Source organism: Homo sapiens, chromosome 5 (assembly GCF_000001405.40).
Source record: "Homo sapiens chromosome 5, GRCh38.p14 Primary Assembly".
NCBI lineage: Eukaryota > Metazoa > Chordata > Mammalia > Primates > Hominidae > Homo > Homo sapiens.
In genome coordinates, this window is record NC_000005.10 from 129694412 (window position 1) to 129714992 (window position 20581).

At 36.2% G+C, this 20581-nt stretch overlaps 1 protein-coding gene across 12 annotated transcripts in view; it reads left to right on the forward strand.

Annotated features, from left to right (window-relative positions):
• The window catches only part of ADAMTS19 (ADAM metallopeptidase with thrombospondin type 1 motif 19), a 278386-nt gene that overhangs the window by 234114 nt on the left and 23691 nt on the right, over positions 1–20581 (forward strand). For 11 of the 12 annotated variants that reach the window (XM_047416876.1, XM_047416878.1, XM_047416877.1 and 8 more), the window contains 3 exons: positions 309–444; positions 6977–7181; positions 9828–9980. In XM_047416876.1, coding sequence (XP_047272832.1) covers positions 309–444; positions 6977–7181; positions 9828–9980 — 494 coding nt within the window. Of the gene's footprint in view, positions 1–308; positions 445–6976; positions 7182–9827; positions 9981–20581 lie in introns of those variants that run through there. The other variant, XR_007058587.1, reaches the window with a different exon arrangement.

A 20581-nucleotide genomic window follows, 5' to 3' on the forward strand; every position in this document is an offset into this window, starting at 1 on the left:
ACATTAATAGATTGTACATTTCAAAATAACTAGAAGAGAATAATTCACATGTTCCTAGCATAAAGATAAATATTTAAATGATGAATATCCAACTTACCCTGATTTTATTATCTGAATATATCAAATTATCACATATACCCTGAAAATGTATACATCTAATATGAATCAATAAAATTTAATAAAATAAAAATTTAAATTATAAAAAAGTTTTTTAAATAAAAAATAAGCATAATAAGCTTATGAACACCTCCTAAATCCATTACATAAAGGCTTATAATAATATTTCTTTGTTTATTTGTTCTTTTCAGGAGAAAGGAAGACAACAGTGTCCTGCACAAAAATCATGAGCAAAAATATCAGCATTGTGGACAATGAGAAATGCAAATACTTAACCAAGCCAGAGCCACAGATTCGAAAGTGCAATGAGCAACCATGTCAAACAAGGTAACTCTATTCCAAGGGCCCTTAAAGCATTATTTGTCCATTAGATTGCTGTCCTTTAAAACATGCTCAGAATATCATTGAAATCACATTTTCTTAAAAACATTGCCAAAGGATACGTACCAAAATTTAAAGTCTTAAATAAGCAAGATCTAAGAAAGCAAGGTAGCAAGGCCAAGATTTTCCACTTAAGGAAGGGGTATTGGGAGGGATGGTTGCTGAGGAGTAATTAAGATCACTTTTTATTTAAAATCATTTCATAACCTCTAGGTCACCTCTTCAAAAACTTTGTTATTTGGTGGAACATAGCTGTTTGCTCCTGAATTCTCCAAAACGGTGTGTTAGAATTTGCCCACAGTAACATAAACCAAACTGGGACTGCCATGACCCAGATCCCAGCAGAGCCAGGCCAGTGTAGTGTTTCTGATTCCTCTGGCTAAATTCTCACTTCCTAGCCCAGAGTTCCAGAAGCAAACTGCCCAATCCCTGATCTCTCACCACCAACTTTGTGACCCAGGTCCCAGTTACTGTACCACAGATGCTTTGGTTTCCTCTGACACCCCCCAATGAGTATTAGGTAACAAAGCAGGCAAGAAATTCACAAGTAGAGGACAAAACAGCAATGCTGAGCAGCTGTAAGTGGAATAGGAAGAAAGAAGCCCATGCCTTGGTTACTGGAAGTTGGGGTAAAGACAGGTGAGTGGAACCTGAGTATAATTTTGGACCAGCCTAGCAACGAGGCTACTTGGCATGGCTGCCAACACAGGGCTCCAATCTACCTGCTTTCACATAAAAATTAAGGCTTAGCTTGATTAGGACTCAGCCCTGGTGTCCAAAATCCTGAAAACTTTTAGGGATGGGGTGACAGAAAGAGTGAGGCTGGATTGATTCCTCTGAATATTGGGACAGGAATATTTACTTTGTCCTGACACTCAGGAATTTGTTGAAGCCCGGTGAGTTAGGAAAGAGTTGTAAGTTCTTAGGTAGTCAGAGCATTGATCTTCCCCTCACAAGAGCTTCTGTAATGGCTTCATGGTGAATTAACACACCCTACAATTCAGATAGGCAGATAATGTGTCATTTTATAGCAGTTTATAACTGATATAACCGTCTTCATGGCCATCTACCACAAAGAGTAGGTATGGGGGAGGGAAGAGGGAGAGGAACAAAGTTGCTAATTAACCATATTTGAGCTTTTCTTTCTTAATCTCTTTGGGAATTAGTGTCATGCAGACGAATGGTTAGTCCTGATTTCCCTATTCACACCCCCAAGGAAAAGTCAATTACTAAAGCCCTCTAAATCTAGCCATGCTATGTTAATGAGCGCTTAAAAGAATTTGGGATCACCTGAGATCGGAAGTTTGAGACAAGTCTGACCAATTTGGAGAAACCCCATCTCTACTAAAAATACAAAATTAGCCAGGCATGGTAGCACATGCCTATAATCCTAGCTACTCGGGAGGCTGAGGCAGGAGAATCACTTGAACCCAGGAGGTGGAGGTTCTAGTGAGCAGAGATCATGCCATTGCACTCCTGGGAAAGAAGAGCGAAACTACATCTAAAAAAAGAATTTGGAAAATACTTCATCTACGAAGTTTGAATTTCAAGGCTTGCTTTCTGTAGATTCAATATATTTTAGATACTGTAAACCAAAATGTATCTGACACAGGTCTCCAATCAATTTAGAAGCTTATATTGCCAAAGTTGTGGATCATGACCCATGACATGGTCTCACAGGGCCCTGAGAACATTTGCTGAAGGTGACTGGGTTACAGCTTGGTTTTATATGTTTTAGGAAGACATAAGATGTCAGTCAATAAATGTGAGGCATAACTTGGTTTGGTCTAACTCAAAGCCATTGGGGGAGGGGTGACTTACAGGTCAAAGGTGGATTCAAAGACTTTCTGATTGGCTATTGGTTGAGGGTTAAATTATTATCTAAAGACCTGGAATCAAGAGAAAGGAGTGTCTGGGTTAAGATAAGGGGTTGTAGAGACCAAGGTTCATATTATGTAGATGAAGTCTCATAGGTGGCTGACCTCCAGGGGCAACAGATGGCAGTGTTTCCTCTTCAGATCCTTAAAATGTGCTGGACTCTCAGCCAATCTCTAAAGTATCAGCAAAAGACCTGGAAAGGGAAGGGGATTCCCTATAGAATGTCAGTTTCCCCAACAAGACACAGCTTTGCAGGGCCATTTCAAAGTATGTCAAATTATGGGGTAAAATAGTTTGGTTTCTTTGAGGGCCCTGCTGTCTGTCATGTGATATTATAGTAGAGTCAGGTTGGAATTTAGTATCTTATTGCTACAAAGAGTCTATTTGGTTAGTCTTAGGATCTCTGTTTTAATGTCAATGCTGTTCAGTTGTATACCTGAGCCCCAAAGGAAGGAGAGTAATAATGAGGCATGTCTACCCACCCTCCTTTCATATAATGGTCTGAACTAGTTTTTCAAGTTTAGTTTTGTCCCCTTAGCTGAGAGAGGAGGGTCCATTCAATCAGCTGGGGGGCTTAAAATTCTATTTTTGGTTTATAGTAGTAGAAGCTGATTATCAACTTTTCCTGTCTTTTGCATTCCTGCTCTAACAGTCCTACCCCAGGCAAATATATGCTTTTAAAAGAATAGGAAAATGATATATAAAAGGATGTGCATAAGGGAAAAGTAATGGACATATCTTCAGTAATGTCATGTTCTTTGCACCTTCCTGAGTGTAGGCTTTTCAGCCTAACTGCATAAGTGTGTGAACCAGTAAAGCTTTTTCATGATACAGAGTAGTAATCAGGTACAGTGACCTAGGGAATTATTCTTGCCTACTGTCAGGTCCTTGGGTCATTTCCACTCAGTGCTGGACAGATACATAAAGTAGCATTTTTGGCCTTGGCCCTGTCAGCTAAAGAACCAGGATCCTTGCTGTTACTGCTGTTCCTCAGAATTCTCTTTTTCTCTATCCCCTTTAATAGATATTAAGATGCTAAATTATCTGTGTTAAATAATGTTAAAATACTTCAAAACACAATTTGTTTTATATTGCCATATAGTTGTTCCAATTTGGTGAAAGAGCCATGGCTTTTTCTGATACATCAGGAATCTTGAAAGAGCTGGATTTGAGGATTAGAGCATGTTTGTTGTTTCCCAAGTTGGTCTGTGAAGGAGCAGAGTGTACAATACAACACACTATTTATTTTTCATTCCCTGAACTCAACTATCTTGGAGAAAAACGTCTCAATAATGACTTGGTAAAATGACTAGTTTCAAAAGGTCAGTACATTTCTGAGTGAGAAATTTTTGCAGCTGGAGACTGGAAGTCTTTTTGTTAGAGATTATTATCTCCCTTCCCTTGGAAAAGGAGGCAATTTATTTTGAACCACCAAGCTGTGATGTTAGTGAGGTTAAGCAAAATATTGGAAAGAAAGAAATGAACATGGGCAATTATTAAGGGTCATCACAGGAAACCTTTCCAAGACTTACTGGAAGAGTACATCCTTTATTCCTCCTGTCTTTCCCCTTTCTCCAACCTAGTAAAAAAATTCTAATTCCCATTCACATTTATTGAGAAAGTCACTAAATGGCCCGATGGCATTCTATGGGTGAAATATAAAATAGATGAATTCACTAGTAAATACCTTTGTAAGTGAAGGTCTCTTAAAGATAAGGAAATGGGATCCTTCCAAATTAAGTTCTAAGCCACGAAAATGTTTTCTTTCATTAGAATACGTTTTATATTTTAGTTCTTATTTTTCAGTGGTTTTCATAAGGAATAGGAAAAGTAACTTTTTATAATTATATTGAGGATCTCAAATTTTTATTTTACTTAAAAATATGAGATTCCATGAAATTGCAAATACTTCTCTTTTCAGTATGGAGAACCCAGTAGTGTCTTCTGAGTTCCATAGTTGGAAAAGATATGTAGATGGACTTAGATTGGGATTATTTTTTGGATATTCTTGTGCAGAAATATGAAGCAGAAACTAAACTAAATTTGGAAGATGTGCACTTTAGGAGAAATCCACCAGGGGACTCCAAAGCAAAATGGCAGGTCTGCAACATGCTGGATAGATGAGGAAAAAATAACCTTGTAAAGCCTTCTATTTCCTTTCTCAGAAATAGAAACATAAAATCATTTACAATTAAACTAACTTACAGATGAGATTTACTAGGCTGTAAGAGGATGTGACTCCTCAAAATGTGGATCATTGCTAGGAATACTTGGGTTTGGTAAATCTGGAATAATTAAGGTTACTTCTGTAAAACAGAGAGAAACATAAATTCTATTTCAAGGAATGTTTATGGCCAGGCACAATGGCTCATGCCTGTAATCCCAGCTCTTTAGGAGGCCAGAGCGGGTGAATCACTTGAGGTCAGGAGTTCAAGACCAGCCTGGCCAAAATGTTGAAACCCCTTCTCTACTAAAAAAATACAAAAATTAGGGGGACATGGCGGGCATGCCCATAAGCCCAGCTACTTGGGAGGCTGAGGCAGGAGAACAGCTTGAACCCAGGAGGTGGAGGTTGCAGTGAGCCAAGATTGTACCATTGCACTCCAGCCTGGGCAACACAGTGAGACTTCATCTCAAAAAAAAAAAAAAAAAAGAAAGACATGTTTATCAAAACCTATTATGTAAAAGTGTTATGGATGCTAACAAAAACAAAACATTGATACATGCCTTTGAGGAGCTTATATATTACAAAGAAAAGAAGGCCAAATTCATTAGGTAGCCTTTGAGCCCCTCTGCTTCCCTAGGGAATATCTAATAAGTCGTGTGAGTGCTACAAGCCAGGCAATAGAGAGCAAAGAAAAGGCCAGTCCCCATTGGTTGAATGGAGAAGCCCTTCTAGGAGGAATGGGCGTGGGGCTGGCTGTCAAGGATCCAGGCACAGGATTCTACAAATATCATGAGGTGAAAATAGAAAGTGTTTGGTAAGCAAGATGAGCATATGGTTTATTTTCCGAACAAGTGGGAGATGAAGCTAGAAAAATATATGAATAAGTATGAATCATTTTAAAAATGCTACTATATATAATATATCCTGAACCTATTGTATATCAGGAAATAATAATAAACCCTTTTACAAATTAAAAAATAGAAACTTACAGCTAATAAGTATTATTTCAGGAATGTGCACAGCTAATAAGGTACCTACAAATAACCTCGGGGATTCTGACTGCTCTATATTGTGCTGAAATAGTTAATTTGGGTCTCCCTAGAAGATTGCCCAAGTAATGAGAAATACAGGGAAGATTTTAATTGACAGGAATCACACAAATACCAAATTTTAAGAATCACTTTTCTGTCATAGGTTTTAGTTCTTTCCTAAAGTGAATTTGGGCAGGTGTTTAGTGGTCCTTAAGGTAGCTCTCCATCTAGATATTAAAATACGTATGTATTAGCTGCTGAATCAGTGAGATCAAAGAATAATATTGGAGTCCTGAGAGCCTGTAAAATGGAGTCATGTTAAGTTTAGCCCTGAGTCTGTCACTCCAGTGTCTATGCTCATATCAAAGCTAGACATTGGCTAGCCTAAAGAAGCATGTGTAGCTCCATGTGGGAGGATATAGCCTGGTCACAGAAATCTAGTTGCTGCTGATAAGTGTAATACCTTGGTGATTGCTTTATCCAGGTAAGAGGTCAATCACAGTCTTCTGTTACTTTGCTAATACCCCCATATCTCTCACTGTTAAGTAGTCTACAGCCTCATTTGAATTGTTGGTGCCACAATTTTGTGACCTTTGGTAAGGTATTAAGCCTCTGTGTGCCTGAGCTTCCCTTTCTGTAAATCTGGCCACGATATTTGTGATACCCAATACATAGGGCTATTGTAAAGATGTAAATTACAAAGAATAAGAATAACTCCTGGATATTAGCAATTTTATACTTACAAAGTCCCACAGTATAGTGATATGGTAAGCAGTGAAAGGCAGTTTATAATATGACATGGAAAAAGTCTGATGGACACTGAGAGTCTAATAAGAACAAGTTCCAAGAGAAGAAATATGGAGCACTCAAAGCAAGAGGAAGCCTGGGCATCTTGCAGAAAACTATTGTGTTTGGTTAAAAAAAAAAAGGTATAAAGTCTCCATGTAACATTCTGCTAACTCTAGACGTGTCAAAATATATGGTAGTGATACGCTTTGACTGTGTCTCCACCCAAATCTCATCTTGAATTGTAGCTTCCATGATTCCCATGTCATGAGAGGGACCGGTAGGAGGTAATTGAATCATGGGGGTGGGTCTTTCCCGTGCTGTTCTCATGATAGTGAATAACTCTCATGAGATCTGATGGCTTTTATAAAGGGGCATTCCCCTGCACACACCCTCTCTTGCCTCCTGCCATACGAGATGTGTCTTGCTCCTCCCTGTCTTCCACCATGATTGTGAGTGAGGCCTCCCCAGCCACATGGAACTGTGTCAATTGGACCTCTTTCCTTTGTAAATTGCCCAGTCTTGGGTATGTCTTTATTAGCAGTGTGAGAACAGACTAATACAAGTAGATAGGTATCTTTTAACTTGTTTCCAGTGACTCTTGCTTTACTTTCAGGTGGATGATGACAGAATGGACCCCTTGTTCACGAACTTGTGGAAAAGGAATGCAGAGCAGACAAGTGGCCTGTACCCAACAACTGAGCAATGGAACACTGATTAGAGCCCGAGAGAGGGACTGCATTGGGCCCAAGCCCGCCTCTGCCCAGCGCTGTGAGGGCCAGGACTGCATGACCGTGTGGGAGGCGGGAGTGTGGTCTGAGGTGCATACATGCCCCCTTTCTTTCCCCATTCCTACTCTGACTCCTAGCTTGTACAAGATCAGGTTGGATCATGTTCAGAATCTGCATTGAAGTTGATATTTTTCTATACTATTTATTAATTTTGTTGATGATTAAAGGAATACATTCAAATAATTTTGAAATAGAAAAATACAAAGATATTTACTTTCTATTCTATAAATATTGCAACATAATCAAGGGCATATTTTATACACATTTTAAATTCTGCATTTTTACTTATATACTATGACTATACTCTTGAGTTGGCACACATTAAAATACACACTTAACTCACTGCATATCCCTGAACATTTAAAATGGAAAGAAGAAAATTAATGTTTAATTATTATATGTGAACAAGGAATGTGTTTTTACTTAATGTTTAGTATATTGTTTATATTTAATCACCTGTGCAGGAAACTTAAGTTTCATCATTTTATAAGTAAGAGTAATATAGCTCAGAGAAAGTAAATAGTTTACCCTAAGTCCTACCTAAGTGGTAGAGCTGGGATTTGAACCCAAGGTTGTTTAACTCATTGCACCCTCCCAACCCCTACAGGCTTGTAGTGTATAACATACAGTTGTGTTCCATGCCAAACCATAGTGATTTATTTTCTGTTATCATGATATATATCTTTGCGTAATAATAAATGGCACTCATGACTTACACTTAGTGGTTGCTCTGAAGCACTTTAGGTGAAGGTCTGGCTGCATTTACTCATATAAACATACTTATATACTCATGTTCACACATGTACCAACACACCTACACACATAAAAAGGAAAATCATCCATCTATGTAATTTCAAAATATTATACAGGATGCAAAAATGATAATTAAAAAATGCTGTATTGAAGTAGCTACTTTTTTGAAAATGAGGATAACATAGCTTAGATAATACAGTTTCTAAATGTCTGTCAATTAACCCAACCCCCTCCAAAAAGCATATTCACAAAAATCCTGGCTTTCTCTTTTCTTACTATTCTAGGTTATACTGTTTAATGGATTCTTTTTCATTTATAATGTATACTTTTGCAAATGAATACCATATCATATTTTACATTGAAATGAATCAGTTCAGTCTGGAGAGAAGAATCACATGAGCATCAGAGAAACAAAATACCCCACCGCAACCCAATCAAAACATTTTTGCAAACTCTTCGGGAGAAAATTGGTCAGAAATATTCTACTATACAGATTTTTGGCACCAGCTGAGAGAAATAATATGTCATAATGCAATATGCCAATTGAAAAAACGTCTATTGTTTTACTTTAAGTTAAAACTCAATTTTATGAATCAGGCATAGTTTGACTTGCCAAAAAAAAAAAAATATATATATATATATATATATATATATATACAAATACATATATATATGTATTAAAGGGCCAAATCACATAGTCCACTTTAAAACTGAACATATTCAAATACAAACTTTAAGTTATGAGACAATTACTTATTTGTGCAAGATTTAGGATACCTATTTAAAATGTCATTAGTTCCATGCTTAAGCTTTCAGGATATCTGGTATGCCCCACACACATATCCAGAACAATTTTGGTCCCAATGTCCAGGTAGTCAGTGGTGCTTGCCTTTAGACAACAGGAATACTTCATACATATTCCATGATGTGGAGGATAAATGTAAATGAGAGAAGAGATTGCACCTAGAGAAAATTAGTGGAATATACATATGTGCTTTTATATCACCCTCATCCGTTATACATCTCCTATTTATTAAACTAAAGAATTTTGAACCAAATTGTATTTTAATTCCAAAAATTATTTAGAATTATAATTTCTAGGAATATATAATTATATACAGAAATTCTAAATTTTGGCTAGGCCCGGTGGCTCACACCTATAATCCCAACACTTTGGGAGGCCAAGGTGGGTGGACCACTTGAGGCCAGGAGTTCAAGACCAGCCCAGCCAACATGGCAAATCCTATCTCTACTGAAAATACAGAAATTAGCTGGGCATGGTGGTATATGCTTATAATCCCAACTACTTGGGCAGCTGAAGTGAGAGGATCACTGGAGCCCAGGAAATGGAGGTTACAGTGAGCCAAGATCACGCTACTGCACTCCAACCGGGGCGACAGAATGAGACTCCATCTCAAAGAAAAAAAAATCTGAATTTTATTTTTGCTAAGATTTTCTCTATTTCATCTTTGAAACATGTTTTTTGAGAAGTGACATGCTGGGGAAATTGTTATTTTTCACAAACATGTCTTCCATCTAAATAAAAGAGTACATCTTAGAAAAAGTAAAATGAATTTTTTTACATAATTATGTTTAAAATGTGATATCAAATTTTAGTAATTTTAATTTTGATCATAGTGCATTATTTATCTTTCTTAAATAATCCCTGTTATATTACTCTCTGTAATAATGGCTCAGTATTTCTGAAACCACTTATCTCCAGCATTGTGCCTTAAGCTCCTTCTGGCATCAGATACTGGTGCTTAGCCTGTTGTTACCTTTAAACTTATTATTTATAATTTTATCTGGCTTTTATGGGTGATGGGCTCATAACAGATTATTGGAAACCAGTACTTAATTGAGCCTATCATCTATATCTCCAATTCACCAACTTTATCTAAAACCTCTGATGTTATCTTCCAGTGTTCAGTCAAGTGTGGCAAAGGCATACGTCATCGGACCGTTAGATGTACCAACCCAAGAAAGAAGTGTGTCCTCTCTACCAGACCCAGGGAGGCTGAAGACTGTGAGGATTATTCAAAATGCTATGTGTGGCGAATGGGTGACTGGTCTAAGGTGAGAACCATTCTGTATATTCTCAGTAATAGGTTTCAATAATGTCAGCATTGCCCTGGGTACTATAACCACATAGCATGGAGTTTAGGAGGGAAGGAGAGTAGAATTAAACATCATGGGATATGGGGCAGATTCTGGCTGGCTGTCCATGATCATGATCTCTATAAAACTGTGTTAAAAATGAAGATAAAATGTACAAAGCACTTAGCACCATACTTGACACAAAGGAAGCTATCAAAAAATAATAGCTGTCATTATTGCTTTTTTGTTAATTATTCATATAGTTCTCAGAATATTGTTGCATAAAACTATCTAAACAAATAGAATACTGTCAGACAAGTCAATTCAAAATATAATTAAGTAAGGTAGCAGAAGAACCAAATAAAGGGAACTCAGCTCTTACTAGATAAAAGACAGTCATTTTCCCACCAATTTTGGGAGTTGTGTATGGTAGAAATGGAAAGGAACAAAATGTTGACATCCTTTGGTCAAATCAAGTGAACACAATTTATATGGAAAATGAACAGTAAGTTTAATTCACGATAACAGTAATGCCTATTTAAAGTTTATATGAGTAAAGTAGAGCCTCATATAGGGCTGTAGAAAATGTCTGACCTGTTCATTCTATGAAATACTAATAAAACCCATGTTTTAAGATAAAATTCTGATCATTTTGGGGTGAAAATAGATCTCACATATTTTTCAGAAATGTAAATATGAATCAATTATCCCACTTTCAGCTGTGATATTATATACTGACTATCATGAAATCATAAAATTATAGGGCTTAGTTCCATGCTTAGATGGTCATAATGCTTTAGATGAGACATAATAAATCCTCTCTCCTTCCCCTTTTATTGTATAAAAGAGAAAAGAAAGTGATGGCTGCTGGGGTATGGAGAGGAGTATAATAGTTTTTCATAAATAACCCTAAAGGGCTTTCTGGGAGAAATATTTTCAATATAGAAAATACTGTGATTATCCCACTTTCACAGTGTTGCCCCAAAGCAATCCATGGCATTTGAAATATAAGCTATTTTCTCATGATTATGTATGCCTTTTGTCTCTAAGAAAAGTTTGCATATTAATATTGCATCTGAGTTATCAGTAAACTAGACTCTCTTTCTACTACTTACAACATTCAAAATTCACATTTGAACTCTAAAAGGATGCTTTTGTAAACAACATAAATCGATCCCTAACTACAGCAGTGAGAAATATTCAGCTCAATCCATGGGAATTTTGACTGGTGAATCACATAAGGAAACTTCACACTTCAGAATAAAAAACTTTGAGGCAGCACAGAATTCTAAATTAACTACAACTAATTTATTTTATGTTCAAGATTTGTTTCCTTAATTCTAAGGGAGACAAATAGAGCAGGATAATAGGGAAAGACAGTGGCTTGGAAGTCAAGAGATACGGAGGACAATTCTCACTCCCTCTTTGCATAGATGGGTAAAGTGGTTAAGCCACTGAATTAATGCCTTTGTGTCTTTGTTTCCATATGAGTCAAATAATGAAAATGGAACAGTGTTTTCAAGCTATATGTATAACAACTTTTCCTTTTTTAATTTTATTTCAATAGTTTGTGGGGAGCAGGAGGTTTTGGTTACATGGATAAGTTCTTTAGTGTATATGTATAGCAACTTTTCATTCATCATTGAAGATATAGGATAGAATAAGGAAGAAGAAAAAGTACTAGCAGCAAGAGGGCAGGGAAAATCACCTGTTGCTCCCTTTCCATTGTAGGAACTCATTTGTTTCTTTTGGCTAGTGAAATTCTAGATATTTTCTTAGAATGAAACCATTCTGCTCTGAAAATATTTACAAACCACGTAAAAAACTGAGCTATATTTTTCCAACTTTGGTGATAAATAGAAAAATTTAAATGTAGGCCAGCCGCAGTGGCTCACGCCTGTAATCCCAGCATTTTGGGAGGCCAAGGCAGGTGGATCACTTGAGGTCAGCAGTTTGAGACCAGCCTGGCCAACATGGAGAAACCCCGTCTCTACTGAAAATACAAAATTAGCTGGGCATGGTAGTGTATGCCTGTAATCCCAGCTACTAGGGAGACTGAGGCAGGAGAATTGCTTGAACCCGGGAGGTGGAGGTTCCAGTGAGCCAAGATAACGCCATTGCGCTCCAGCCTGGGTAACAAGAGTGAAACTCAAAAAAAAAAAAAAAATGAAAAACTTAAATGTTAGTTGTTGTTAACCTCCAACTAACTATAAAATACAGAAGATGTAATTGCAAAAAAACCCAAAAGATTCAAGTTTTATTATAATATGTGACACAGAATTATAAGCTCATACAATGCTGCATGTGGAAATACGGCTAGCAAATCCTATTTGCTTGACAAATACTATTACTTTTGGTTAATGAAACGTGCCTACTGTGTGGCCTCTGGGTTAAATCTTAGTTAAAACCAAAGTTCACTAGGGAGATCATAGGGAACACTGATTGTGGTTTTTTATGCTAAACTAAAAAAAATTTTTTTCAGTTTTATGAATATATGTATGTAATTCTTAAATATAATTGGATTGAATTACTTTTAATTGGTTTTGTGGTGTTACTGTATGGCTACCCAACTAGAACATAGCCTTTGTGAGTGAGGAAAGAAAAGAATAGCTTCAACAAATACAGTTGACCCCTTAACAAAACAGATTTGAACTACACGGATATACATACATATGGATTTTTTCAACCAAAGGCGGATCAAGAATACAATATTTCCTGGTTGTGAGACCCACTTTAAGGAGGGCTGACTTTTTGCATATGTGGGTTCTGCAGGACCCACTCAAGTTTGCATGGACTTTGATTATACTTGGGCTGTCCTAAAACCAATGCCCTCATATACCCAAAGAAGATTGTATTCATCTTTATTCCTGGCCTTTTAACCTTTGCTTGTTGGCCTGTTTGTTTCTTTGTTTGGTAACTTAGAAGATCCAGTAAATAGTGCTTCTGTTTGTCTACTTTCGGACTTTATATGAATATAAGTGCTTTTTTCCTTAAAGCCATTTCTTTCCTTTTTCATTATAACGATCTCAGCATCACAGACTCAAACAGTGTGCACAAATTAAAACCAGTGGCTCCACGTGAATTTTATTGGTTTCACCCTTCATTTTATACTTCTATGACATTACTTTCATGTTAAAATGAAGACCATCCCAAAATAATTACAGAGAAAAGGAATAATGAATGCCATGATTAAGTTTCAGTGATTAAAGTATTCAGGGACAGAGAAAACACACAAATCTCTTATTCTTATCAGCTGTGTCCTTGAAACAGGAATAGCAACAAGATGTATGTGATTGTAGGTGGATTTCTGTGCTCCTCTGAGGTCAGTTAATCTGTCAGTTTCACGCAAAGTCTGCCCTATTTTTAAAGTGTCAATACTAAAGTGGACTTCAGCCTTGGATTTACTTTAATCAGGAATATTAAATGTACAATTTTTTTATAAAGCTAGCACTGAAAACCTGCTCCTCCCTTAATAATATAGATGAGTCCCTGGGAGAATCAAAAGAAAATACATCCTTAGATTCTCCCACTGCCTAAGAATCATTGACTGCTATTGGGCAAAGGTAGTATTGACTAAATGGAGGATGACTGAAAAGATGGCTTATGCCTCAAACTATGTTCACTGCATTTGTATCAGCCTACATGATTTATATCATATATATTTTGGGTGGTTTTGTGTAAATAGTGGAAAAATTGCTCTGGGCTTCTGAGGGGGAAAAACAGATTAAGGTATATGCAAAGAGTGAAACTTACGTCATAAAATTGTTGCCTTTGATTTCTAAGAAAAAGTAATGCAGCCTTTGTTGAAAAATGTTCACGTTTATTTCATCAGGATTACAATGATGGCAAAAATAGGACACATACAATGTGGCTGCTTTGCCCTGGCTTGCATTAACTTACACAATTATATGCCACGTTCTGACTATATCTCTCTCTGCTATAGACATGTTCTTCGGATCTTTCTTGGGAGAAAAGAACATTACACACATTTCCTGCCAACTTAAATCTTCATTCACTCATTTAAGCTCTTCTTAGTATGGAACACTGACTTGAAAAATAACATTGTCTCTAATGTTTAATGAAATGACATTTTTTTTTTTGGTCTGAATTTGACCTTCCTTCCTTTATTTAAACTTCTGCAACTCCTGATTTTCATTACTGGAGACCAGCAGAGAAGCAAAAAAAAAAAAAAAAAAAAAAAAGAGTACTATTTTATCTACCTGTTTTACAGGATCTGATTATTTATGAAGTTTTATAGAGTTAACCCTTTCATGCAGTATTAACAAGTGATTTAAACTTATTCAACAGAATTCTGTTGAGAAACAAGGCACCTTAAAATTGCACATAATTGTTCCTGGTTTATTCTTATATTTATATTCTACAATTCAAACTTACTCCTTTAAAATTCTAGGAAATGATTAGTTTTGGACACATATAAAGTTATGACATATTAACAGATATTTGGACAGGGGATTTATGAGCCTTTTTGAAATGACATAATCTAAAATAATGCTGGAAGCACAGTAAATCATTTTGGATGATTTAGTTATACAGCCCAGCCAGTTGGGTATATATTTGTTTAGAAGTGATAGATACAAAGCCTGCAGTATAATGAGTAATTTTTAACTTATCCTCCAAAAGGAAATCACAATTATATTCAGCATGTTGTATTGAATAGGAGAGGAATTAGACAAATGAAGAATCTAAAAACTAATTTTTTCCTAATGAATAAGCAAAATATACTTATCTAGATACCTGCTTTCTAGCAATAAAAATTAGATTTATGTTAATGGGAATTCTACGTATTCTGAGCTCATGCTCATAGTGAAAATTTTCTAGTTTCCTTAGTTACAAATCTCAAAATGGTGTTCTACAATAAATTGTTTTCTCATTTTCTATGGGAACAATGCTTTGGCTGAAAAAAAATATATTGACTACTTAGTAATTTATTTTTATAATTAAAGACCTGTATATATCTGGATTATTTCTAGTAAAAATAATTTCTTACCATAAATATTATTGATGTTACTGAAATCCACTTCATATATTATATTGTCATAGGAATCTGTAATAACTATAAGCAAATAAGTATTCCTAAGTTGTTAGCACTCTAATTGTTTAAAAAAGTTCAAAAAAAGTACAAATTAATTAGTTATGCCAGCTCTTTAAGTGTGCTTTGCATAATCAAGCATTATAACCTTAAAGTGTTCTCCTGTTGCATAATTATTAAATTAGAACAACTCATAACAAGTGCAAGATCAAAGAAACAACAATTTAACAAAAACATTCCTTACGTACATACTTAAAACAAGTCTAGAAAGACAATACAAGATTTATTACCTTGTCATTTTGAGCCTTACCTATATTCAGATTGGCCAGCAGTCAATACAAGTGACTTGATTTGCGCCATTTCACATATCCCTAAAGAAAACATTTTCTCTTACTTTTTGTTATATTGGATTCTTAAGGTGTGTAAATTTGAAGCTCTCAGTAAATTAATAGGCTGTAGGCTCATAGGATCTTTGGCCTGACCATCTGTCCTCTATTTTCTTTTTTTTTTTTAATTTAATTTTAAGTTCCGGGATACATGTGCAGGACCTGCAGGTTTGTTACATAGATAAATGTGTGCCATACTGGTTTGCCGCACTATCAGCCCATCACCTAGGTATTAAGCCCTGCATGTATTAGCTATTTATCCTGATGCTCTTCCTCCCCCTGCCTCACCAACAAGCCCTAGTGTGTGTTGTTCCTCTCCCTGGTCCATGTGTTCTCATTGTTCATCTCCTGCTTATAAGTGAGAACATTCAGTGTTTGCTTTTCTGTTCCTGTGTCAGTTTGCTGAGGATGATGGCTTCCAGGTCCATCCATGTCCCTGTAAAAGACATGATCTCATTCCTTTTTATGGCTGCATAGTATTCCATGGTGTATATGTACCACATTTTCTTGATCCAGTCTATCATTGATGGGCATTTGGGTTGATTCCATGTCTTTGCTATTGTGAATAGTGCTGAAATGAGCATATGAGTGCATGTATCTTTCACGAAAGAAGACATTTATGCAGCCAACAAACATGAAAAAAAGCTTAACATCACTGATCATTAGAGAAATGCAAATCAAAACCCCAGTGTGATACCATCTCACACCAGTCAGGATGGTGATATTAAAATGTTCAAGAAAACAACAGATGCTGGCAAGGCTGTGGAGAAATAGGAACACCTTTACACTGCCTTCTATTTTTCTATACAGAAGCTTGTCACTTCTTAAAACTAACATTGACAGTAGTATGTCAGACTTATCACAGTTGGTAGCATTTTTTTAATAATCATAGAGGACATTTCTTTCCACTGAAGGAAAACTCAGTGAGTCTTTGAAAGAAATTTGAAACCTTGATACAATCAAGAATATACTGAAGTAACTGACTAGATAACACTGTTTTGATCATGCACCCCTGATGTCTAATGTTTTTTGCTTTTGTTGTTTTTTTCTTTACATTGCCAAAAGGTACAAAAATTACCAGAACCAAAAATTTTAAAGGGGGATTTCTTGCTGCCCCAGGGCTAGGCTAGACCTTAGGACTATGGATTCCAACATGCCTATACTGACCAATGATGGCAAATACACTACCCCAATTAAAATCAACTTGCAGGGAGTCCAGAGTCCTAGTGAGAATTTGTATAGCTTCCTAGTTTTAACATAACTAAATGAAGCAGGCTATTAGAGGGAAACTCAATCCCTTGTTGAAAGGATACTTATTTAAATTTAAGGGAATAATTAGCAGCAAAAGCAAATAACCTAATTAAATACTCTAGTAGAATGTAAAAATAGAAAATGTTAAGTATCCACTGAAACTAGAGAATAAAATAAACACAATTAGGAAAATAATATCTTGTCAAGTAGACACATTAGTAAAATTGGTATATGCCAGAGGCCTGAATGTCATTATTTTTATAAGATCAAATACATATTAATCTGACAATTCTTGACTGGGCACGGTGGCTCACGCCTGTAATCCCAGCACTTTGGGAGGCCGAGGTGGGTGGATCACAAGGTCAGGAGTTCAAGACCAGCCTAGCCAACTTGATGAAACTCCATCTCTACCAAAAATACAAAAAAAATTAGCCGGGCGTGGCAGCGGGTGCCTGTAATCCCAGCTCCTGGGTAGGCTGAGGCAGAAAATTGCTTGAACCCAGGAGGCAGAGGTTGCAGTGAGTGGAGATCACACCACTGCACTCCAGCCTGGGTGACAGAGTGAGACTCTGTCTCAAAAAAAAAAACAAAAATTCTTTAGGCTAGCATTTCCAAAATTTTGTTCCATGGAGAGCTCATTCCTTGGGGATGTGGTCTCTATGTATGAAAAATGCTGGTGTTAAATAAAGAAAATCAAATATCTTTGCTGTAGGACTTTTCAGGTCTTTTAATATTCTACTGTATTTGGTAAATCGCAAAGAGGAAACTAAAGTATTTCTCCTTTCTTTCTGCTTTATACCAAAGATCGCTTTTGCAGAGGACATAGCTAATTTGTTATTTAACATAATACACTTTGGGTGACTTCACATTAGATTATTCAACTTTCAAAGAATAGTTATGTAAATTTTTTTTTCTAGCTAGAGAAAATGTGTAGATTGAAACTAAACTGAAATTATCTATAACATAGGGAATTATTCCTGAAATAGGTTAGCATTTTATTCAAAATTGGTTTCTAATTATGTCTGCAAATATACTGATGTTTGGAGAAGGTAATTGCTTACAATTTTTGTAATTACAAATAATCATGTAAGACAGGAAAATGTGAACAGCTATCCCCTAAAATAGAAAACTATCACACCGAAAGCTCTCATTGTCAGATCAGTCCATCATCTAAAGAAATCAAAGATTGTGAGCTTAATTTTAAAGCGTTTGGACATTGAAAAAACCTATCCCAAGATATCCTAAAAAAGAAACATTTTACATTTTATTTTCTTTGAAAACTGTTCACAACAAATAGATTAGTCAGTAATAAGTAGGATCCCTTTCCTCAAGAAAGACTTTCCATTTTGTTGTTTAGATATATCCACTGAGTACTTACAAAACTTGCTACTCACCATTATATCTGGAGAAACCATGCAAAATTTCCTAAACAATGACTATCAAATTGTTTTGTCTCTGTCTCTTTGCACTAAAGAGAATGGATTTTTTTTTGCATTGCTGTTATTTTTATTTTGAAAATCTCCTGAGAGTCTTATTTATTGCCACTAGATATACAAAATTTAAAAATGAATTTCTAAAATGTTTGGATTGCTGAAAACAGTCAAGTACATTGGCTGATATGATCGATCAGAGCAGAAATACATTAACTTAAGGACAATGAGGCACATATGCTGTTATATATGCTACCCTAAAAAAATGTATACTTCAGAGAGACTGAGATAGTATCTCTCTCTCTTTCTCTCTCCCCTACGTGTGTGTATGTGCAACACATACATAAGTATAAATGCAAATATAAGAACATGTGTTTAATGCCATTTATTTTGGAAAATGCAAGAGAAATATTGTAAAAATAAAATCCAGAGGGTTTAATAATATTTCCTTCTTCATAGCTTCTAGCACAATTACTAGACTATTAAAATAATACTTTTGATCACTATTCTTATGCAGCGTAATAGGGAATCTATAATTTCATCTCCTAAACCATATCTCAGATTAATTCAGAAAGTAAATGTGATGGAGTTACTTTTGATATTCCTTATAGAAGGATGGAGCATACATGCTAAATCTCATTTTTGTGATGTTGAACCTCAAAAGGATTCTATGTTGCAGGGGGTGAGCAGGTATGTTCACATGAACAAATATGAGAATTTGATATGAATTTTATAAAATTATAAGCAGTAGTCTTAACATTGAGTGTATTTTACTTAGATATGGTGAAATATGTGTTCATCAACTACTAGAGACTATCCAGAGATAGACATAACCAGATAACCAGGATAACTAGAGAAATACAAGTTTAAGACACAAGAAAAGTATACAAATGATCAGCCAATTAGAAAGATATCACATGAGGTCTTTGGATTTAAAATGTAACAAACAGGCTGGGCACAGTGGTTCACACCTGTAATCACAACACTTTGGGTGGCCAAGACAGGAAGATCAATTGAGGCCAGGAGTTCAAGACCAGCCTGGCCAACATGGCAAAACGCTGACTCTCCTAAAAATACAAAAATTAGCCAGTGATGGTGGTACATACATGTAATCCCACCTACTTGGGTGGCTGAGGCATGATAATTGCTTGAACCCAGGAGATGGAAGCTGCATTGAGCCGAGATCGTGCCACTGCACTCTAGCCTGGGAATAGAGCAAGACTCTATCTAAAAAAAAAAAAAAAAAATTAACAAAATGTTTTTAACAAACAGAGCCATGGGCCCTGAGCTGGGGGTTCTGGCCTTGAGATTTTGCTTCAGGATGACTGGATGGCACTCCAGCATCTACACAACCAGGGTTTCAGATTGGTGTTGATCTTGTTTGCAGAGGAACAGTTCCTTAGTCCCCCTAGCCTCAAACTCCACATTTGTAAAATGTACCAAAGTAACAACAGGTTTCTTGGAATATCAAAATGCTCTCACCATGCAAGTAAAAGTAATAATCCAGTGTCAATGATGTGTGTAGTCCAAGGAAATGTATTTTGAAGTCCTTAAAATGAAGAGTCAATGAAACACAAATAGCAGAATGGATTAGAAAAATACATATCTGGCCGGGCGCGGTGGCTCACGCCTGTAATCCCAGCACTTTGGGAGGCCGAGGCGGGTGGATCATGAGGTCAGGAGATCGAGACCATCCTGGCTAACAAGGTGAAACCCCGTCTCTACTAAAAATACAAAAAATTAGCCGGGCGCGGTGGCGGGCGCCTGTAGTCCCAGCTACTCGGGAGGCTGAGGCAGGAGAATGGCGTGAACCCGGGAAGCGGAGCTTGCAGTGAGCCGAGATTGCGCCACTGCAGTCCGCAGTCCGGCCTGGGCGACAGAGCGAGACTCCGTCTCAAAAAAAAAAAAAAAAAAGAAAAATATATATCTATAGGTCTGTGCTATAGGACAAAATATGCATAAGTATATAGAGCGTAATAAATAAATCTAACAAATATGTTTACAAGTAAACATGCACACACAGAAGTAATATGGGAGAAGTGGAGTGAGGGATATCAGGGGGCAACCAGAAAGCTCCATTTAAAGGGTGCAGACGCTACGTAACTGAGTCCAATTGCGTTCACGTATCTCTTTCTGCACAGCACTTCTAATATTGGATGTTATCACTTTTTTACACCAACTTGATAGGTGGAAAAAAATTACAACTCATTTTGAAATGCATACATTCTTTGACTCAGCAAAAATTTTCCTTATGAACATTTTAAAAAATGTTTAACAAAAGATTTTCCTTATGAGCACTTTTGCATAATTTGCTAACCATATTTATGAAGTTGCTCATTGCTGTAGCTTTAAGTCAAGAAAAATTTGCAAACAATCTGTGTGTCCATTAACTAGTTATAGAACTCATGATGCTATTTTAAACAGTAGAATATTGTAGCTTTTAAAAAAATTTATAGATAAATA